This window comes from Homo sapiens, chromosome 15 (genome assembly GCF_000001405.40).
Source record: "Homo sapiens chromosome 15, GRCh38.p14 Primary Assembly".
Classification (NCBI taxonomy): Eukaryota; Metazoa; Chordata; class Mammalia; order Primates; family Hominidae; genus Homo; species Homo sapiens.
This window is the reverse complement of record NC_000015.10, coordinates 32,822,356-32,845,635: the sequence shown is the minus strand read 5'-3', so window position 1 is coordinate 32,845,635 and position 23,280 is coordinate 32,822,356. Positions and strand designations below refer to the sequence as shown.

Below are 23,280 nucleotides of genomic sequence, written 5' to 3'. Positions count from 1 at the left end.
CAGATAAGAAAACTGAGTCTGAGGGTCTTGGTAACTTACTCAGGGTCAGGGTGAGCTCAATCCCAGCGTTGTTACTGTGCCATCCTACTAACTTAGAGAACCACTTGGTTTCTTTTGAGTCCCAGGACCCTAGGGGTAAATAGAAATAAGCATATTTGTTTCATCATCTAAAGGAGAAAAGTATCAGAATAGTAGATTTGCCTTAACCTTGGGTAACAGCTTAACCTCAAAGATTCCTTTTCTGAGGTCTTAATAGAGGTCCTCTTTTACCTTTCCCAACAATAACAACAAAGTTTCCATTGTAATTAGTAAAGAATTGCAGTGACAAGTATTTAAGTATTTTATGGAATCAGTATTGAGCTCTGCATCTTGCATAATGGTTGTTCTCATGATAAATTGCCTCACGTAATTATTGGCCTAGCCACCACTTTCTCTTTGGATTCTTGACAACTATGGCAAGGTTTTCATCAGTGATTGATCAAAGATGCTATCACAAGACTTCTCTTTGATTTATACAGTTATTGTCTTCTTCATAATGAAAGAGCTTAACACCTGTATTGCCTTCTGGGAGTTATTGTGCATAATACATGTTATATAATACATAGTTTCGCAGACAATGTCCAATTCTGGAAAGATCTTTTCATTCCTTCAAATAATACGGGTATGTTTCTTCTGCTGAGTTCATTTGGCCTTAAATGAGTTGTGGCAGCTCTAGTAGGAACGCAGGACTAATGTATGTGGAGCAGTTAGCTCAGAACCTGGCACTATGTATATCAGCCGCTGCTGTTGTTACGTGATTTTGTCAAATCTTATCAGATGCTTCAGACAGTGGGTCTCAGAAAGTTAATCACAGAAATTTTACTTACCCAATGGTGCGAATAGCAGTGGTTCCAAGTTCAAGTGGCAAATAATTATTTACTACAGAGGACGGCCATAATTTTAGAAGGAAAGTTATGTGCATCTTTTTCATCTCTTCTAAAAATAAGCCAGAAGCAATGAATATAAGCTGGATTTCTGTTAAGACCAGACACTTTATTTTTGTTATATGTATAATTTGAAGATAGTCATGTGTATAATTAGAATAAAAGGTAAGTAGAATTAGCATAAGTTTAAAAGGTACCAGATATGCATGGAACTTTTATAAGGGATTATATTTTTCACAATTAAAATATTTTACATATTTTAAAGTATAATTATTTCTATAATTACATCTTGATGATATAAGGGATGTACATAATTCCATTTAAGAGGGCAGGTCTGATAGATCACACTTCATGGCTACCAAAATCAACAATATTACCACCTAGTGGCTGCTGAATTGAACTGCAAACACATGATCCTTGGGATCCACAAAGACCCTGTCTCAATAGCTAAAAATGATGGAAAAAGATAGTGAACGCCACTATAATTAACAACTTTAATGGGCCTTGATAACTGTTAATCACTGTAACACCCCAGCTCTGCTTTCAAACAGATTGGGAGAATAATGAGAATTTGCTTTTCCATTTATTGAGAAACTGAGCCTTGAAAAAGTCGTGAGCTGAGGCTAGAGAATGTGATTATTTAATTCCTTAATCCTTTTATTAATCTTCTGAATTGAGAAGTAGATCTACCTTTCCCTCCCAGTTTTTTTATTTAAATTTTGATTTATTTATAACATTTTTCAGTGAAAATTAAAAATGTGTATTTGAGTAGATCAGAACTGTTTTAAACAGAGATAAACTGGTCTTCTCGTTAAGGAAATATGCGATGTTAGTTAGTTCATGTGCTTTTATAAATTTAGCAAAACCTGAGTGCTCAACATTTAGAAGTGAAGTGCCAGTCCTGATAGCTCATCCTTACTCCATCTCAGAGTCAGGCATTGAGACCTTTGCTATTTACTACTTCCCCTTTCATCTTAGCATCCACCAACTTGTTGACATTCAAATTATTCATTGAAATAACCAAACCGTCTGCCCACTGAGCTCATTGCACCATCCCATTTCCTTGCTGAAATAAATAAAATGTGGCGTGAGTAATTGTAATATAGTAATTCTAGGGGAGCATAATATATTCAAGTAAGTAATGTAGAAAGCCACTAAAAAGTCTATTTGAAATTGCTCTTCTTCCCAGGAGGGCACTGTTCTCTCTTTAATATATTCTCTTTGGCTTCACGATTCTAGGATTAAGCCTAATTGCTAACATAATATATGTGCGTGATCGTTGCTTTCTTTAACTTAAGCTTCCTCTGGCATTGGTTTCTAGTTTGTAGTCATGACTGTGGCATTAATTGTAATTGGTCTGAGCTTCATGTGAAATAGGTTCCAGCGTGTTGACAGCAATTAATGGAGCTCCATAGTCCTGGGTAAGATTCAAGGGGTGGGTTTTGCATCTCTTTCAAATTGTTTTCTCATTGTTTCTGTTGTAGTCTCCTGGGAGACTATAATAAACAGGCTGGCTTTAGAATTGCACAAATCTGAGTTCAAATCTCTCCCCTACCTTTCTTTCTTTTTTTTTTTTTCTCTTTTTGAGACAGAGTTTCGCTCTTGTTGCCCAGGCTAGAGTGCAATGGTGTGATCTCGGCTCACCACAACCTCTGCTTCCTGAGTTCAAGCGATTCTCCTGGCTCAGCCTCCCAAGTAGCTGGGATTACAGGCATGTGCCACCATGCCCGGCTAATTTCTTGTATTTTTAGTAGAGACAGGGTTTCTCCATGTTGGCCAGGATGGCCCCGATCTCCCGACCTCAGGTGATCTGCCCGCCTTGGCCTCCCAAAGTGTTAGGATTACAGGTGTGAGCCACCATGCCTGGCCCTCTCCCCTACCTTTCTGAGCTTGGGAAGCTTACTTCCTCAAAAAAAAAAAAAAAAGCTGAGGTTCCCTCATCTCAAAGACAGAGGTAGTAATACCACCACCATAAGGTTATTGTGCCCATCAAACTTGCTAAAAAATGTCAGCCGTTTGACTATGGGTCTTTCTTTCATACTAGTACAGATAAACTTTTTCAAACTTTTACGTATTATTAGTTTAGGGCTTTCTGTGTTCTAGGCACTGTGCTGCATGTTATGAATACAATGATGAGCAAAAGGAACACAGTCTTTGCCTCTGGAACTTATATTTGCCAGTGGATATTTTATAATTATAGCCGATTGGTAATAGGAATCCACAGTGCATAACCAACCATCTCAAAACTTAGTAGGCTACAACAATGTATGCCTATCTCTCACAGTTTAATGAGTTGATTAGACTTAACTGGCTAGTTCTTGCTTCAGGTCTCCTGTGAAGTTGGAGTTAGATTATGGCTGGAATTGAAATCATCTGTAGGCTGCAGAGCCTCGGCTCGGGTGGATGGAGGGTGGGGCTTGGCTGGGCATCTCTGAGAGCCCGTGCAGTCACTCCACATGGCTTGCGCTTTCTCATAGCATGGTGGTCTCGCAGTAGTTAGCCTTCTTACATAGTTACTGGCTTTTTCCTGAGCAAATGTTCCAAGGAAAAGAAATTAGAAATTTCCTATCCTCTCAAACACTGGGAATGAAACATCACGTCACTGTTGTTCAGAGAAGTCACAGTCCAGTCCAGTTTTAAGGGAGTGAATAGACGCCACCGTTCAACTAGAGAACAGCACAAACATGCAGGGAAGGAAAGAGCTGATGATGGACATCTTGGAGACAAGCTACCACGGTGTCCTAATTGATCGTTCCTCAGATTTGTGTCTCTCGATATCTGGACTCTTAACTAGTGGGCTTTTTTACTTGACTTAGTCCATCAAGATTTATAAAACTGACCATTTGTGCTTGCCCTAGGAAAATGGATTGTATAATCTTTAAGTGTGAGATAAATAGCAAAATACATATCTGTTCTGGTTCTCGTAACTCCTTCAGGATGGATGGTATTTCCAGGAAACAGGATTTTCTCATTCTCCTGAATCACTCTCTGTGTTACTACACAGAAGGAAATATACAGCTTCATAAATACTAGCCTCACGAACCCAGTTCCACAAAGCGATTCACATGTTACATGCCTACTGAAACACACAAGAACCATCACATCAGCCAGAATATATTTCCTAGGACTTTAATATAAAGTCCCATTTGCTGCAGTTTTCTACTCCGCTTCTTCTGAGATGGAGTGATGGAATGTGTAGAAATAGTTAAAAGCCATTTCTAAATCAACATTGAAAATATTTTTTTCAATTAGTTTATCTACCAATGTTATGTTCCCAAAAATATAGATAAGAAACCAGAATCTGGAATTTATATTAAAGTTCATGAGTTTTGATTACATGTTCCAGGTGGATCAATCTGAAATACAAGCCTTACTTTAAAATAATGGAATGATTCCCTTGGATATATGAGACTTCTTCTCCAGGGACACACTACATATACTCTGAGATTAAAACACTGTGTGTTTTGTCTCTCTATATTTCTCAAACATATTAAATGGACAATATCCAAGAGGCATCTAAGAAGGAATAAGCTAGAAAAGTAGCCTGTATTGTTTCCCACGAACTGTGATGATCCAACCCAAGATCAATGAGCTGTCAGAAAAAGTGGGGGAGAAGTTCCAAGCAAAAATATCTAAAGTAATAGCCAAGGGGATAAAGAAAACCACTGGCTGGATAAACGGTGATAAATGCTGGTGGTTTGTTTGTTTTTAAATTTTGTTTCTGTCTGTAAGTCCCTCTTTCTGTGTAATACAAACTCTTGTACTGTGTGACACTCCTGTGTCTATCTTTCAAAGACTGGGGAGGGTGGAATGAGCAATTATCTGTTCTTCTTTAAACAACGATTCTCCCACTGTTTAGAATTTAAACAGTGTGTGCACATTTTCTTTTCGGTATTTCAGTTGTCCACAGTTACAGTCCACTCAATGTTCTGTACAAATGGGGCATGATGACCCACTGGCACAGCTTCCTCTCATGTTTGTACCATTTCCATACCCTCCCCTCCCTCCTGGACACCTGTGCTAATCATCCAAGGACTGCCTCCCACCCACACGACTGCCTGTCCTCATCTTTGCCTCCTTGGCACTGAACGAAATAGCCAAGCTTCTGAGATCCCTGGAACTTGCCTGTGTGTGGAATCCCACATGCTCTAAAATGCCTTTCACACAGCTACTCTGTTTTTGAAGCAAAGTGATTTTAGTCATTTGTACGCAGTTATGTGCAGAGATGAGAGGTTTTGGGCATGCTGTTAGGTCCTCGGTAGTATCTTGAATGTGCTGATACCGGGTGATTACAATCTTCTAGTAGTGAGAAGGGAAAAATAGAGCTGCGTGGAGCTAGATATTCAAATAATATCATATCATGGCTCCTCCTGGGAATATGATCATCCTTGAAGTGACTTAGTCCTCACTCCTCTCCAGAAAAAAAGCCATTTCTTCCTCCAGCTTTCTCTGCCCTCTCACCACCACAGCCCCTTTGGTCTGGTTAAATCTGAGCCACACAGATGCTCACTAAGGGCTAAAACAACAGTGGCAAGAGGAGGCCAAGTTAATGGGTGAGCAGCACCCTAGACTGGGAGTGCTGAGTTTCGCCCACAGACCTCAAGCTGCCCCCAGCCCATTCTGCTTTGGATTTCAGGGCTGCAGCTCTCCTCCCGGGGAGGATTCATCACTTCTTAGGTTTGTTCAACGCTAGTTTCTTATGTTGCCAATATGTGGCTCTGCAAATAAATGCTCACAGGGAAAAATCGGAAATTGGTCTTATTGACTTAGCGGTGTAGATCTCCCTCCCATCAAGTATACAGTTCTTCAGTGTACCTGTAGTTAGTTCTGGATAATTATAAGCAAATTAACAAGGATTTTTTACATTGTTGTTCCCCATTTCATGACTAAGTTGCTGCCATTAGCACCATACCTGTGAGCTAAGCAGTGGGGAGGTTGATTTTTTTTTTTTCAAGCCTAATCTTATTTTGAGGAGAAATCGGTTCTCAAGAGAATCTTCTCTCTCAATCCTACTTCCAGGACACTGATGGGTGCAAGCCATTATTGATTTCCACAGTCTGTCAAGAGTATAAATGAGAAGTCTGAGTCTCTTGTCTCAAGAAGCCAAGCTTCTGATGTAGGCAGATAAAAGAAACTATGTTTGGAGTAGCTTATCATCATTAACAACCATAAGCATTTCCTGGCTAATGGCTCTTCACATGTAAAGTGCCCTGCTGTGGAATCCGGGGGCTTCAGGTCCCTGGTGCTCAAGTTGTTTACAGTCCAGTCTACGAGACAAGCAGAACACTAAAATGGGAACTAGTGTAGCAAATGCCAAGCATCCAGTGAAGTCTGAAAGGGCTAGAAGTTCACCTGAACACAGTTGTCCTTGCTGCCAACGCCTGAAGGGTGGGTTGGTGCTGACGCTCCGTGGTTGAGACTTTTACGTGAATGGTTCAAAATGTCCTGTCCTCAGGGAGAGGGGTTCCAGTTCTGCTGGGAGTGGGTGGGCAGGGTGCAGAAAGCGGTAGACCCGAAGCTGCCTGTGAGAAGCCAGCCGCTGGAACCCATCTTTGCTTGGCTTGCTGGTCCTTGGCTTTGATCTGGGGGCACTTTCTCATGAGAGTTCTTCCTAGTCCTCCTCTGTCCCATGTGACAGGCTCCTCCCAGTTTGGTCCCGTTTCAAGGGAAATGAACTGTTTGTCCAGTCACCATCTCTGGGCTGTGTAAACAAGCAGATGGGCAATTAGTGGCTGTGTCAGGGCCTTGGACTGCTGCTGTGCTTGCACAAATGGAGACTCATCACTCATCTTTTGGACTATCGTCGTGCAAGCATGAGATAATGGGGACTGCTGGGCTCTCGAGATTTCTTCATGTTGTTTAGATTTCAGTCTTCGTGTCACAATCCTATTGTTCAAGCGTTCTGGCAACAGCCACTGTCATTCAGCTCATTTGGGAGAAAAAATAATAATTTGGATTCTGTTGCCTTGATTTTTTTCTCATTAAACCATTTTTTAATGAGCAGGAAGTAGGACCAAGGCATAGAGATCTGTAGGGTAATATCTTTCCTTAATTAGCCAAATGCTGACAACAGAGGTCACCCAGTTGCAGGAGATTTTTGCCCTCCCGCTTTAAGCGGGGCTTTAAGCGGGCATGTGTGTTGTACACACAGGCTGGAGGCCAGGAGAGGACAGAGCCTGCAGTCAGGTCACTCGTAACCCCACGGCTGCTGCTGTTTGTGTTTACTTGAGCATTCACTGCGCCTGCTATGTTTTCCTCTTGGATCCAGAATGCCAAGAGGGTCCCTTCAATCTGCCATTTATCTCCTCTTGAGATGCACAGAAATCGGGCACCAGTTGCTCAGTCTCCAGACTGTTCTCAGCATCAGACAATGGCCCTGTGTTTCCTTTGCTCTTTTTCCATACATTGGCCTCACCTCTCCGATTTTTTTTCTTTCTCCCCTTCCGCTTTTAATTTTTTCTCTCTTACCTCGGTTTGAGCGTCTGCCTTCTTTCATAGCTTTCTGTTTTCTCTCAGCATCTCCTCCACCCCCTTATGTTTTCAGTTTCTTGTGACTCGCTCTCCAGATTCCTTCATATTCAGGAATCACTGTCTTTGCCCAACATTGTTGTGAACGTGCCGGCCTTTTATTGTGGTTGTTCATCCCTTTCCCTCTTGCCTTCATTGCTCCCCGAGCCCTCCACCTCAGCCTCCTAAAACCTTTGAAGTTCTTCAGACTGGAAGTGTCTCTGGATCATGCTACATAAATGAGGCAATAGCACTTGGGATCCATTCAGCATGAGGACTGTGGAAATGATAGTCTTTCTCCCATTTTGCCCTAGGATGGGCATCTGTTGATGGGCAAGGAATTAACAGAGAGCACATCCCATTCTCTGTGACCAATCACTACTATTCTTTTTCAGTTGTTCATTCAGCATTTATAAGTTATCTACTATATGTGAGACTCTGAGGAAAAAAAGAAGAATCAGACACTATTCCAGTCTAAAAGACCCTATATATCTGACGCAAAATCTTACTCCACCTTTCAGGAGCATTAGATATAGCTGATCAAATGATGGATTGAAAACTCCTTCTTGCTTTAGGTCCTAACCCTCTTTTGTCTTCTCTCTACTTCATGGGCATTCCTCAATCTCCTAAGCTGGTTCTTCATCTTCCCAATCTCTAAACACAAGAGGGCTTCAGGACTCAGTCCATGAACCCCTTGCCTTATCACTGGGGTTGCTGAGGTGCATAGAACCTTGAGACTTTCTGATGGATCAAGCATATAATAAAGAGACTGAGGGAGACAAGAGAAGTCACTGTCGCCAGAGTTAGATTCACTGCCACCGCCACCCCCAGGAGCCGCCAGAACCCTTATGTCGCCACCACCACCCAGATCCCTGCACCATGACATCAGAGAAGACCTTCAGGCCACACCACACCTTTGAACAAAGAGTAGAAGTTTGACTTCTCCGAGAGCAGCATCCACCCAAAATCTTGGTAGTAACAGAACGATACAAGGCTGAGAAGCAGCTTCCCGTCCTGGATAAAGCAATGTTCCTTGTACTGGACCACATCAACCTGAGTGAGCTCATCAAGATCATTAGAAGGTCCTTCCAGCTCAGTGCTAATCAAGCCTTCCTCCTGGCGGTGAACAGACACAGCATTGTAGCAGAGTGAGAAGGATGAAGATGGATTCCTGTACATGGTCTGTGTCTCCCAGGAGACAATTGGAATGAAATTGTCAGTGTAAAACTGAAAAAAAAAAAATGCATCTATTTTAGAATTTTTAAACCTTTACCAAGGAAAAAATAAAGGAATGTTACCCACTGAGATCGATCAGTTCATCTAATCACAGATCGTCAAACAGTAGTGTTCCCACCTAGGAGTGTCAGGAAGTTGTGTTTGTATTTGAAGCAGAAAACTGGGCTCCAAGTGAGCACGTTCAGCTTTGGAAACTATGTTATTTAACATAGGCTAGCTTGTTTTCAGATTTTAAAAGTTTAAAAAGAAAATACTTTGCATTCTAAAAAAAAAGAGAGAGACTGAGGGAGATGTATGCTCAAGCAATGGGTGTATCCTCTTGTTCTTCACCAAACAAGGGGAAAGTTTTACATTCATTTACATTCATTTTACAAGTTTGTAAGACATATACAGCTTAGGGAGAAAAATATGAAGGCCTCGGTTCTGGGGAGAAAGCATGCGGGCATTTGTAGTACTGAGACTAAAAGTAAGGGGAGAAAGAGTTGCTGAGGTAAAGCTAAGTTAGAATATGAATTATTGCTACTATAAATGACACTAAATAGAACCTGTGAAAAAGGAGAAAATGTGAACTATACTATCCTCCTAAATAAAAGTAAATTATGATACCAAAAGCTTTTAAAAGTTTTGCCATTCCCAAACCGCCATGCAGTTGGCTTTGTGACTTTGGACATTCTCAGAGGGAAGGCATCACCTTTTAGAGTTTGTGAATTTGAATGAGTTTGGGTTTGTTTGGAAGCAGAGCTACATCAGAAATCTAGTCCCTTTCTTCCTAAAAGCACAAGGCTGCTAGTGAGCAGCCTTGTAATCCCAGCTGTGAGCAGTCGCTCACACCTGTAATCTCAGGACTTTGGGAGGCTAAAGTGGGAGGATCACCTGAGGCCAGGAGTTCAAGACGAGCCTGGGCAACATAGGGAGGCCACATCCTACAAAAAATTTTAAAAACTGGCTGGGCCATGATAGCATGCATCTGTAGTCCCAGGTACAGAGAGGCTGAGGTGGGAGGAACACTTGAGCCCAGAAGATTGAGGCTGCAGCGAGCCATGATCATGCCACTGCACTCCGGCCTGGGTAACAGAGTGAGAACCTGTCTCAAAAAAATAATAATAATAAAATAAAAACAGAAAAAGAAGAACAGTGTGAAAGATAATGCATGAAAAGCTCTTTCTTTCTTATTTTCATGACTTTACAAGCTTCACTTTCTGCCTTCCCATTTTGTACCACACAGACATTTACCACTGGGAATCTTCCTTGTCTGTGTCCCAAGGTTATCTGAACACCAAAGTTACACTTAAGAAGGAAAGGTTGTCAACTCAGGAGGATTGAAATAGAATTCCCTTGGAATCACCCCATAACATCTATTTGAAAACAAACCCTTCCAAACCATCACATCATGGAAATCACAGTCCATGGTGAGAAAACTGCCAAGTTTTTGAGGTTGCAACTTAGAACACACACCAAAAAAGTGTGTCTTCATCTCCAAGCATCTTTGGTTTGGAAATTGGGATAATAGGGCATCTGATCAGGCTTCCTCAAAGAATATCCAGTATTTTCCCGGCTTCCGGCAGCAGAAACCTGGTTGGTGGTCTAAGCCAGGAAGAAAAAGATATTTCACTTTGGAAGAGGAAAATAATTCTAAGTTTATTTTTTTAGAGCCACGATTTAGAAAAAATAATAAAATAAGAGATGCCTCTTATTTAAAATCAGTTTTCATTGTATCTGAATAGTCTGCTTTCCCTTGTTCATGAGTATCTGTGATTACGTGGTCAGGCCTGACACGTATCCCAGCTAGGCTGGGTGACATCCCTGTGTCCTGCCCTCTCCTCCAGCTCTTCCTCATGGGCCTGCTCACTAGCAGCCTTGTGCTTTTAGGTAGAAAGGGACTGGATTTTCTGATGTTGCTCTGCTTCCAAACAAACCCAAACTAATTTAAATTCACAAACTCTAACAAAGGTGATGCCTTCCCTCTGAGAGTATCCAAAGCCACAAAGCCAAACTGCAATGGCAGTTTCAGAACAGCAAGACTTTTAAAAGCTTTGGTGTCATAATGTTATCATTTTGAAGGGTTCACCTGAATAAAAGCCTTAGATTTCTCTGTGTGGTGAATATGAAGCACCCATTCTAAAATTAACCAAGGTGATCAGAGGGAACTAGGGCTTCTCCCCTTTAAACAGTGATTCTGTTTTCAAGATCAGTGGAAATAAGAAAAAGATGGAAAACTATTTGTTCAAAGAAAGGTACTACCTAGATTACCTTTATTTTCTCACTTCTTGCTGCTGCTGCCTTGTCTTAGGGAAAAATTGCTGAAAATAATAACGGTGGGAGTAAGAGAAGGCTAAAAGGGAGATGAGTTTCAGCCACATTTGGAGAAAGGAAGAATTAGATGAACAGAGCTTGGATGATGGCAGTCGGTTTCTTTGTTTGGAGGAACTATTAATAGTCTTGATTTAGCCCTTGAGCTCCTGTTTTCTGTCTTTTGTTTGTGTTTTATCTGTCTGATTTTTTCCTCCTTGAGGCAGCTTGAAATGTGAAAGGGCAAGGGAACAGAGCTAACGTAGGGTGGAAACATGGTTATATGTAATTAAGGTCTTACTTCCTCAATTTGCTACTACTGAAGCCCAAGGGAGACCAAGTTCTGTTCCACACACCATGTGAGAGGAAGAGGTTGACTAAGATGAGCTAGGCAGTTTTATCAGCTTGTTGGTCAAGGGATGTAGGATCCTGAGATGGATTCAATATTTTGGTTGATATTAACAGAAATATAATTTTTAATTTTTTTCCAAAGAACCAGACAGAAGTTTAAGAAAAGAGTTTACCATCCAAGAATTTAATTTGCTTTTCATCAGAGTATGACAAAACAGGCATGCTAGGGTCCAGCCTCAACTAACCTGAGTTGGTGAAAGGAAACAGAACTGAATTGGAAATAAATGCCAGGAGGTTCTGAGAATCAGAAAAAATGATGAGAAGGGTCAGGGTGAAGATGACAAAGGGCGATGGTTCTCAAAATCCTGCTGCAGTGTGAGAAGTAGCTGCCTTTTAGTGTAAGGTCTGGGCTTATGGAGGAACCCAAGAGAGTAAGAATGGAGTCAGCAAATTCATATTTAAATGAATATGCCCACATTCCTTTGCCCTATTGATTCCAGAAGTTGAAATTGTGGCCTTTAATGTGTTTAAGCCCTTAGATCATTTGCTAAGAGTTCAGGGGGAAAAAAGCAGCTGGTTCATCTCTGGTATTTTCAGATGGGTTTTCTTTACAGAAGTTACTCATAAGTGGTATTTTCAATGGAGACCTTCAGAAAAAAGATGCTTGGATATCTCATCAGGTTTCAGAGAAGTGTTCAGACTTGTTAACCCTTTTAACTCAGCTAAATGTCCATTAAACCATAAAACAAAGTCCATTACACTTTTGGGCCGGGGACTTGAGTGACTGACTCACTCACCCTGGGATGTTGCTCATCTCCTGTATGGACTAATATTGGGGCTTATTAGATCATGGGGGTCAGAAGGCTCACTTCCTCTGTGCTTGGATGCTGGGGCTGTTTTGATGCTAGTTGGCTTTCTGTGGGTCTTCTCCCTTATCAGTAGAGGATACACCCCACTTCTCCAGATGAGTCCCTTATAAAACAGCTGCTGCTTCATAAGACATTCCCTTAACCCAAGCCCTTTCCTCCCTATCAGTTACACTAATTGAAGATCAAAACCATTTCCCCCCACCTCCCATTACGTATTTTCTACTTATCCTCTAAGAAAAGAATTACAGGTTAGGATTACTCTAGAAGTGGTAGCTGTCAGTAGAGGAATGACATCCTAAAATATGACCATTAGAGACAAGAAGAAATTAGAAAGCTAGCATGCAGTGGGCATTTAATAAACAGCTGCTGGGAGTGGTGGCGGTGGAGAAGAGCAGAGCAGAGGAGGAGGGGAGAAAGGAGGAGTTGTAAAGTGGGAAAAAGGAGCTAACACTTTAGAAGGACAAAATGGCGGCAAAAAAGTCTGTCCCTTGGTTTTCTCCCATTGACAAATCTAAGACTGATGATGTCTACCCTACTTCCTACCTCTCACAAAACAACATTAGAAGGCAACATATTTAGGTAACCCGGGGTCATAAAGGAGAGTTGAAATAGAAGCTTCAGCAAATAACCCCCGTATCATCAGGCCTTGGATTATCAGCAATTCCAAGCACTACCTGAGTCTCCATCTCAAAAAGCTCTTCCTTCTGCTGGCTGGAGTGCAGTGGCGCGATCTCAGCTCACTGCAACCTCCACCTCCCGGGTTCAAGCGATTCCCCTGCCTCAGTCTCCCAAGTAGCTGGGATTACAGGCACTCACCACCATGTCTGGCTAATTTTTTGTATTTTAGTAGAGACAGGGTTTCACCATGTTGGCCAAGATGATCTTGATCTCCTGACTTCATGATCTGCCCGCCTCGGCCTCCCAAAGTGCTGGGATTACAGGTGTGAGCCACCGCACCCAGCCCCCTCTGCCTTGAAAATACTCACAGCATCATCTCAACAGCCAATACACTGAAACCCCTCTCCACACTGAAGCACAGTTGTCTGTGAAGAAAAATTAGGGAAGCCATAGAGGAACAATAGCTCCTTTGCAAATTACAGCTTCATCAGAAGGAAAGTTGAGGCAGGCATATAGTATTTTATTTTATACACCACAAACAGACAACCCCTAGACTTGGAATTCAGAATTAACAAAAGCATTAAATCCATCGGGCTTTGAGAAGGGTCAATGTTTTTTCATATGTCTTCCCTGCTACCATTATTTGCATAACAAATCGCTGCAAAATGCATTCATGTCAGATGTTGGAAATAAACTCTTTGGGGTATAGCTATTTTTAAACAACCCATAGTTATACGGGTGTTTTTAAAACATTCAAAGCCTGAGTTTATGTTTCAAATCATAAGTGATCACAGGAACTCTATATTGTTGGTCTGGTGCTGACCTACAGAACAGAGTCTGAAGTCCCTCAGAAATGATGATGTTTTAAAGAGTTACAAAAGTTCACATTGGCTGTAGATTAAAGCCCTGTATTTCTAGGCAGGTACACAGAAATCCCTGGTGCCAGTTTCTACCTCCACTTTGGAGAGCATTGAACTTTCTTTGCAAATATTCAAAATACTTCCCCACCAGAAGATTTTACTTACTGACACCGGGAACAGGCATCCCCACCCACATTCTTCATCCTTAAGAATCAGAAGTTAGAAAAAAAAAAAAAAAGGCTGCATTCTTTGAGATTATTTGCATGAGTGGATTATTTGTGTCAGTCTCTGAGAGATTATCTTCATAGTCTCTAGTCTACTTGTCCAAGCTTACTATTCCCACAAAAGATTTTTCCTGTGGTCTAGGGAGTCTCATGATTGCCTCCCTGGACCTATGCAATACCAACCTCCCCACCCCACACACACTTTCCTCCCCTGCAGCCTCTGCAAAGCCCTGGCTCCTGGGGCTCCTTGAGCTTGGACTGCCAGCTCCACTTCCCGTGTTCTAGGCAAGCAGCAAATACCCTTCAAAACTGCCATCAAGCCCCACCTGTTTTATAAAAACTTCCCAAGCTTCCATGATATGTGCGTTATATTATTAGCAACGGTATTAGCCAGGTGCCTGTATTCCCAGCTACTCGGGAGGCTGAAGCAGGAGAATCACTTGAATCCAGGAGGTGGAGGTTGCAGTAGCCGAGATCATACCACTGCACTCCAGCCTGGTTGACACAGCGAAACCCTGTCTCAAAAAAAAAAAGTAAAAATAATATTAGCTAACATTTATTTAATACTCTCAGCCAAGTTTGATACTAAGTAATATCTCATTTCTCATTGAATAAAAAAACCCTTGAGGAAAGCACTATTATTATCTCCATTTTACAAAGGAGGAAATTGAACTCAGATGGGCTGGATCTATGTGACTTAAAGGAGGACCTCAATCAGGACAGGTTAAGAATCCAGCATGGGGGTTTGGTGCCTTGGACTAGAGTGGTTGAGTAAGTGGCGGGAGATTATAGTGGTGGGGGGTGTTTGGAGGATACAAACCACTAGACTTTTTGGTGGCTTGGATCCTGCCCTCCCGATCTGAAAGGTTACATTTCATCCCGTCTTTAGATGTCATTTGCACTACTTGAACACTCCCCAGGGCCCTCGCTGCTCCTACCCCTAATTGATTTCCACCTTTCTTCATATGTGAGTTCACATGATGACGTCTCCTCGGACAGGGAGGGCTTTTCTTACATATACTCCTGGGAAAATTAGGTTTCTACTCAATAATATAACTGCCCCTCTTTCTGTTACCTCTGTGGCACTTCTTTCAATTTTTAAATATTTGAGAAATTACTTAGCTGATACGAGAGGGAAGATGTCTATTTCACACTTTATTTATAGTATCCTCTTTACTTACCATGCAGTGGTACTCAGTGAAATACAGGTTGAAGCTGTCCAAAAAAGGAAAGAATTTAAAGGAGTTCCTCCTCATTTAGATCATAAATGGAATGGAATTCCTTCATAAAAGCAAATTCATCTAGAGGTGAAAACAGGACTCAAAAAGGAAAATTAAACTATTTCAACCACTATCTCACCAAAAGAACAACTCCAAAAATGTGATCTGGAGGGAAAAACAATCAAACTAATGAAGAAGAGAAGACAATGAGTCAGGAGTGACTATCCCTTACAATAGGGGTGATTATTTTTAAAAATCTGTCTTTATCTAATGGTCAGTGGCACTCAGTTATATGGCCAGACACAAGAATTAGAAGATTTTAATCTCCTGTCATTTGTTATTTCATATCCAATAACTTCATTTACTTTTTTTTTTTTACTTTATTTTTGGTCTTTGGCCTTCCAGATCCCCCAAATTTTGGATAGCCTGAATGTGGGATGATCCTGTATTCAGAGAAGTGAATTTCCCTTCACTAGTCCATTTGCTTTTAAAAATAAAGAAGACATTAAAATGAGTTGCAGATATAAGTAATCCTTATTTAGTTATTTTGCTTTCTCAACCAGCATAAGGTCTCTACATAAGGACAAAATTTGGATTCAGTACCTCCTAACTCTGCCACGTGGGAGAAATGTGTCCCCCCTCATTTCTGTGTGGGTATTTGTCTAAATCTTGTCTCCCTTCCCACTACTGAGGTCTCACAACTTGAAGAGTTCTATCTAGATATAGAACATGGTTATATATGCTGGTAACAAAATAGTTGTAACTATTTTCCTCACTCACGAATCTTACCCTTTAAACAGGTAAAAGAGTGATTTACATGGATTGGCAGGAGTCAGAGAATCCTTATTGCTTTTGTAAGCTGAGACAATATGCCCAGTCCATACCAACACCAAATAAGGTATCTTGGAATGTGATTGCATCCATATGCTTTCAGCTCATGCAATATAGGCACAGAGAACCAATTTTAGGAAACTGGCCTCAAAGGAAGGCACGGGCTCTTGATTAGATTCCCACCATTCTACTCCAGCAGCCACATATAGAGCCCTTAATATTAATTTTAATGTAAGTTGGAGGAAATTTTCCAATCTTTGAAAACTATCTTTCACCCCCCTCTCCTGGGGGCCTGTGTTATTCACCAGCTAGAAACACTAGCAGCTGGAAGCAGAAGATGGCTTGTCTAGTCCTCCTGGATGCATGCATTTAAAGAGCTGTAAGGTTGACAGAACTTTCGCCGGAGCGCATGTTTTTAACTTAGTAGGAATAATAGCTTGGTCTCATAAACTGTTGTGCCATCTTAGATTATATATTGCATGGCAAATTTTTGTTATTGGGTATTTGTCTAGTTACATCAATATTAACTAGAGTAGACCTTGAGAAAGCAGAGAAGGAAATTTTGCTTCATTTGGGCTGGAGTTTTGCTATCCAGTTTCTGAGTTCTTGCACATTGCATTTTGAGTCTGTGACCAAATGACCTGCCTCTTGCTCCAAGTAAACAAATACTGACATTCTTGCCATCCACCAGTGTCTTTCCTCTAGGGGATGACAAAACATTCGATGTGTAGCAAATATACATAGGTGCCAGCAGATAAAGAGTTTTGCCTTAGGTCATCTACCAGGAAATATTATATTTTACCTACCTATCTCCCTGTTCACTGGGAGGAATTCTGAAATCCTTAAGTAAAAGACGTTGAAACTACTAACGTGTTCCTTTGTTGTATCAATATTTCTAGTAGTCGGAATGTATGCTTTCTATTCCCAGTAATTTTATTAGGTTACTAAAAAAATATGATTTGGTTAAGAGGGAACATGAGCCAAGTGGTAGGGCTAAATCCCTTCTTCTGTCTGAGTCGTGACAATATTTTAACCGCAAATGTTTATCTTTCATCCTCAGGGGAGATGAGTAGCCTCTTTTTTGAATCATCCTCTGCAGAGTGCAGTAGATGCAAAGCAGTACTATTATCCAAATTGTTAGCTCTTACAGCCAAGCTAGAGTCTATTCACTGTTACAAAAACCCAGTGAGAAAAAAAAAAAACATGCTAAATGATAAAGAATTACAAAATCACATTTCAATTAGCTCCATTAATTTGGAAAATGGAATTTCCCTTTGTACGACTTGGAGTAATCAAAATTTACCAAATTAAGAAGAAATTCTGACATTCTGCACTACAGAAAGGATGAACCATATTGGGCTTACCATTCTGCATCCTAATTTTTAATATCTATTGATGTTGATACATATGGATCTAATTACTTTGTCTCTTTTTGAAACAGAGTCTTGCTCTGTTGCCCAGGCTGGAGTGCAGTGGTGCAATCTGGGCTCACTGCAACCTCCGCCTCCTGAGTTCAAACGATTCTCCTGCTTCAGCCTCCCACGTAGCTGGGATTACAGGTACCTGCTACCATGCCGGCTAATTTTTGTATTTCACCATGTTGGTCAGGCTGGTTTCAAACTCCCAACCTCAAGTGATCCACCTGCCTTGGCCTTCCAAAGTGCTGGGATTACAGGCATGAGCCACCACACCCAGCCTGGGTCCGATTCCTTTTAACCACTATACATTATTCAGTTGTGTGAATAAACCATGTTTTTCTTTATCCATACCTCTTTCACTTCATGTTCTTAAGTTAGTCACATCATTCTGGACCTCTGCTATAAAGGAGAGCCAGCAATCTGTATGTCCTTTTTTTTTTTTTCTTGAGACGGAGTCTTGCTCTGTCACCCAGGCTGGAGTGCAGTGGCGCAATCTCCGCTCACTGCAAGCTCCACCTCCTGGACTCACGCCATTCTCCTGCCTCAGCCTCCCGAGTAGCTGGGACTACAGGTGCCCGCCACCACGCCAGGCTAATTTCTTTTTGTATTTTTAGTAGCGACGGATGTTAGCCAGGATGGTCTCGATCTCCTGACCTGATGATCCACCTGTCTCGGCCTCCCAGAGTGCTGGGATTACAGGCATGAGCCACCGCGTCCGGCCTGTATGTCCTTTCTTCATTGGGTCGTTAAAAAGATGAACAAGACAATAATGTGAAATGATTATAACTCTTTTGTTAGAAAGTGGTACAAACATGAAAACTAATGCTATTTTCTTATATGTTATGATTTTCATCTAGAACGACAAGATTCCTTGATCATTCTTTGTTTTATTTAAGTGAATAGTAGGTAATAATCCATTTGTGAAAGTGATGGGAATGTAAAATTAGACAAATGTGATTAGCTGGGCCTTACCGCCACAAACTCTGCTCAAGATAATGCTGCCGAGACCCAAAGACAATCATTTTGTTGCTCATAAATGACAGTTTAAGCTGGTGAGTGGCTGAGGTCCAGCATTCTCCTTGGTTCCTAGATGGACGGTAAAGCTGCTTGGACCATAATTTTCCATCTTTCTTCTTGGAAAGAGTGACTGGAGGCCACTCAGTAAAGTGAACCTTGGAAATAAGACTTCTGTCTCACACAACCTGTTCATGAAAGGGAGCTATAAAAATAAACGCATATTCAGAGCCTAATGGAGACGTGGCAACAGGCCTGAGGACATGCCATCCCTGAATCCCCTCCTCTGATTCTCCTGTAGTTCTACTTAGTTTCAGAACAAGATGAATGCATCAGTTGTAGGCAAACATCAGTTGTGTGTGTTTTCTCAGCTTGTTTATTTAGAAAGTAGTTGAAGGAGATAAGAATGAGTAGCTTTGGAAAGAGCCAGCGCTAGGAAAACTGGGAAGGACATAAGAGAATAGCATTTCCACAGCTAAGATGCTATCTGGAAGCCGCCTGGAATATTGTAATGATAGTGTGAGATCATGTAGTGTTCTAATAGAAGGTGGGTCTCTCTTCGTTCCTACATACAAACTCCAAAGCAAACTCCTAGGTGGGTATGACTTAAGAATGGAGCAAAGCATTAGCATTAAATGGCAAGAAGTCTGGATTAAACATAGATGAAGAGAGACTCCCTTGTTGTTCTCACTACTTTCCTGGTTTCTCATTAAATTGGTCTGCGCTTCCCTGGGGTCCTTTGATTCTGTTTTTGCCCTCTTTTCACTAAATCTTCCTTTAATTTCCTTTGGTTTGATCTGATGACATTAGCCCTTTCCATCAGTTTCTGAGCATACCCTTTTGGCTTGTTTCCTCTTTCTCCTTAAATCTCAGGGCAGCGTTTTTCCCCCAGGGAATTCGATCTCAGTGTCTTTCAACACCTTCACTGTTGGCCTGTAGCCTCTCAGGCTGCGCTAAGCAGGGCCCTGGAGAGTCTTCCACTCTCCCTGGAGAGCTGCTTCTCTATGGGCTGTGGGACACTTGACCTCACGTGTCTCCCCACCACCCTTGTGAAAGAAGCAGCCATTAGGCCCTCTTGACATGTGTGGGAAGCACTATTCTGAGAAACACTCTAGGGACCCCACTGCTAAGTCAGTGATAGATTTTGACATCCAGAGGGAGGGTCAGCTCCCTTGAGTCTCACTTTGAGTGATTTCTAACTACTATTTCCATCATTCGAGTTTTGTTATCCAAACAGCCTTATCCAAAATGTGCTGTTATTACTACCAGTGTCATTGTTGTTTGACCTCTCAAAACTACTTATTCTAAACAACATCTCGCACACTGATTTTATATGTCAGGTCTAATACAATTTGGGGAAAAGGTTACTGAGTACCTAATCTTAACCATTCATTCTTTATGAATAGGCCCACAGTGTGTCAGATATTGTGCCGAGCAAAGATAAGAGACGGTCTCCCGGCTTAAAGATCTCACAACGTAGTCAGGAGAGCCAATCCTAAACAGACAACTGTATAATAGGGGAATGGCAATGAAAAGGGTAATAGAGAAAATTTCTTCAGCCCATTTTTGAGAGTCAGCAGTGTGTCAGGTACTGTGCCAGGCATAGTTTATATAGTCATGAACAGGACAGATAAACTTATAATTAGCAAGCGCAAGAGACAAAAGAGCAAATAAGTAACCCATTGTATAATTACAAATTGTGGAAAGTTTAGGTTTGGCTGAAGAGGGCTGGTATTAAGAAACCTACTTTAAAAGAGTAGGGAGAGTAGAACAGTGATGACATTTAAGTCTGGGAAGGAGCCAGTTATAGGAAGCATAGAAGAAAAACACATCGTACGCAGAAAGAACACCATGATTGGCAGCCCTGAGGCAGCTGAGAGCTTGGCATACTGAGAGATTAAGATGGGCGAATACAACTAGAACTAGGGCAGACCACCTAGGCAGGGCCCTGAAGATCATGAGACGGAATTTGGATTTTATTCTACAGGAAGCCTTAAAAGAATTTGTAAAATGAAAGTAACCTGACTACATTCATGTTTTAAAAGATTATTCTGGTTGCTGTGTAGACAAATAAATGCACAGAGGCAAAAGTAGATAAGGAAGTTACTGAAGTAGCTCAGGTGAAAAATGAGCATCTTGGACCAGGCTGGTGGAAATTGAGATGGAAAAGTATGGATGAATTCAAGACTATGTTTTCGAAGTAGAAAAGACAGGAATTGGATTTAAACGTAGGAGTTGTACAAAAGGAGGAGCCAAATCCCAGGTTTTGATCATCTTAGTGAATGTCGATGCTATTTACTGAGGTGACTCAGACAAGGAAAGGAACAAATTTGTGTTATGGTAGACAATTCAGGGAATAATTGGAATTCCTGGACAGCTATTCATGTCAGGATGTTCAGCAGAGCAGGGGAAATGCAAATCTGATGTTGAGAATGTAGTTTGGAGTTGATGATAGAGATTTGAGATTCATCGGCAGAACGAGAGTAGCTGAATTTATAGCTAATTATAAAACAGAGGGCTGGGGCACGGTGGCTCACACCTGTAGTCCCAGCTACTCAGGAGGCTGAGGTGGGAGGATCACTTGAGCCTAGGAATTGGAGGCTCCAGTGAGCCTTGATTGCACCACTGTGCTCCAGCCTAGGTGACAGAGTGAGACCTTGTCTCTTAAAAGATAGAAAAGAGTCTAGAGAGCGGGCCTTGGAGCCTGAATATATTTAAGAGGGAGAAGAAGAGCCAGTGGCGGGAACAGAGCAAGTGATCAGAATGGGTGAGATAATTGACCAATGTTGAACATGACCCTACCTGACTTGCCACTGATAAGCATTTTTTCCTTGCAAATAAAATTTAAAAATACTGTTTCTGAAAATGTTCAAAAAACTCTAAAGCATTACCTATGTGTAATCTGTCAAATTCATGTGGATATCTATCCACTCTGTGAGGTAAGCACGCACTAAGAGGACCATGTAAGAATCTGAGCCTCTGAAAACCAGTGTTGGGCTCCACGCTCCAGCCCAGGCAGACTTGGCTTTCATGGTATGAAGGAAATGGGACGTGTTGCTTTTTAAATAGTACTCACAGTTATTAAATAACATGATTAATAATAACGTGACCAAAGATTTTTAAAAATTCCTTTCCCACCTTTCCCCTCTCACGGGGGGTACATTACACTATCTGTTGCTGGTGGCATTGCTGCCATCCCCAAGTCCATGTTTCAACTGTGTGTGGCTTCCAGCACTTCAGTGAAATCTTATTTAATCACACATGCCATTTTATAGACCTGTAAAGAAGGGAGCACATGGCTTTTGGCAGGGGCACACTGTTCCAATGTGGTCTTCCCTATGTTTGCAGTAGGATGTTACAGCTCCAGGCTCCATGCCTTCCACCTTGTGAGTTCGCAGAAGCCTGTTCTGTGAAGAATACTTTTCGAATATGAAAGTTACCCACGAAGCATTCTGGACCAGGGGTGTGACTAAACCTCCAGCATGAGTTGGAATAGTAGCTTTCAGGGGCTTTGTTTCCACATAGTGCCTTTAAAATTGGTATTTTAAAAATGGTTATGATTGTACCACCATGTCCTTATTTATGATAATAGTAAAATTGCTACTTTAGCATTTTGTTGGTTTACAAATCTTTAAAAATGCTCAAAACATGTAAGAACTGTCATAGAATGTATGTGAGAGGAAACTTAAAACTTTGAGTTTTGAAATTTAAGCAGTTTTCTTGGAATAACGGCATTTGTGAGAATTTTCTCATTCTGCAGAGATGACCTCTTTGGGCCCACCTTGGTGTAGGCAATAACGATAGAAACTCTCGGCCGGGCGCAGTGGCTCACACCTGTAATCCCAGCACTTTGGGAGGCCAAGGTGGGCGGATCACGAGGTCAGGAGATCGAGACCTTCCTGGCTAACACCGTGAAACCCTGTCTCTACTAAAAATACAAAAAGAAATTAACTGGGCATGGTGGTGGGTGCCTGTAGTCCCAGCTACTCGGGAGGCTGAAGCAGGAGAATGGTGTGAACCCAGGAGGCAGAGCTTGCAGTGAGCCGAGATTGAGCCACTGCACTCCAGCCTGGGTGATAGAGCAAGACTCTGTCTCAAAAAAAAAAAAAAAAAAAAAAAAAAACAGTAGAAACTCTCTGTCTTTGAGACAGACCATGAATGGGGGCTCGTGGGTAGGAGAGAAAGGGCGCAGTGCCTTGGGTAGCTCAGGATATGAGTGAGTACCCTGCCCCATGGAACATTCTGCCCTCCTCTGTTCTCCCCAAGATAGAGTAGCTGCAGCATATTGTCCTACTCTTGTACCCAATGGTGAGACTCAACTAGCAAGATTGGTTCCGTGTCCAGAATCAACAACAGAGGAAAGCCAAGAAACTCAACAAACAGGAGAATTTACACCTGAAAAAACATGCTTGTAGGCAGAACAGATATTCAGAACATGTGTGTTTTATAATCTCAGAGAACTATAAGATACAGACACCTTCATAAAAAAGAATCCAGTAGAGAATATAGAAATTAAAATTTGAGTTGATGAAATATTTTTAAAAGAGAGTAAGAAATACTCAAATAATGCAACATTACTTCCCAGAAATGAAAATACATTGCATCTCTTATTGAAAGAGCCAACAGAGGCAATGAAAAATAAATGTACACATATGTGCACCCTTAATTCTTTATAATGAACCTTGAGAAATCAAGGCTTTAGAAAAATGCTGAGAGACAAGAAGCTTCTGAGCAGCAACACTGGATGCAGGAAAAAAAAATGGAGTAATAAGTGTAAAGTTCTGAGGGGAAAAATATCAGAACCTAGAATTCTAAATTTAACCAAACTGTCATTAAAGTAAATGAGAAAAGTAAATTCTTTTGAGAAACGCAGAGCCTAGAAAGATTACTAATCGTAGATCATCTTTTTTGTTTGTTTGT

The 23,280-nt window shown here is 41.4% G+C and overlaps 1 protein-coding gene and 1 pseudogene across 15 annotated transcripts in view; both read left to right on the top strand.

Annotated features, from left to right (window-relative positions):
* FMN1 (formin 1) overlaps nucleotides 1-23,280 on the top strand; it is a 429,171-nt gene that overhangs the window by 349,079 nt on the left and 56,812 nt on the right. For 2 of the 15 annotated variants that reach the window (XM_017022131.2, XM_047432439.1), the window contains one exon: nucleotides 8,062-8,735. The exons of the other annotated variants lie outside the window; for them this stretch is intronic. In XM_017022131.2, coding sequence (XP_016877620.1) covers nucleotides 8,062-8,165 — 104 coding nt within the window. In that variant the 3' untranslated portion in view covers nucleotides 8,166-8,735. Of the gene's footprint in view, nucleotides 1-8,061; nucleotides 8,736-23,280 lie in introns of those variants that run through there. 15 annotated transcript variants of the gene reach the window in all.
* LOC107984761 (microtubule-associated proteins 1A/1B light chain 3 beta 2-like) lies at nucleotides 8,310-8,735 on the top strand (annotated as a pseudogene).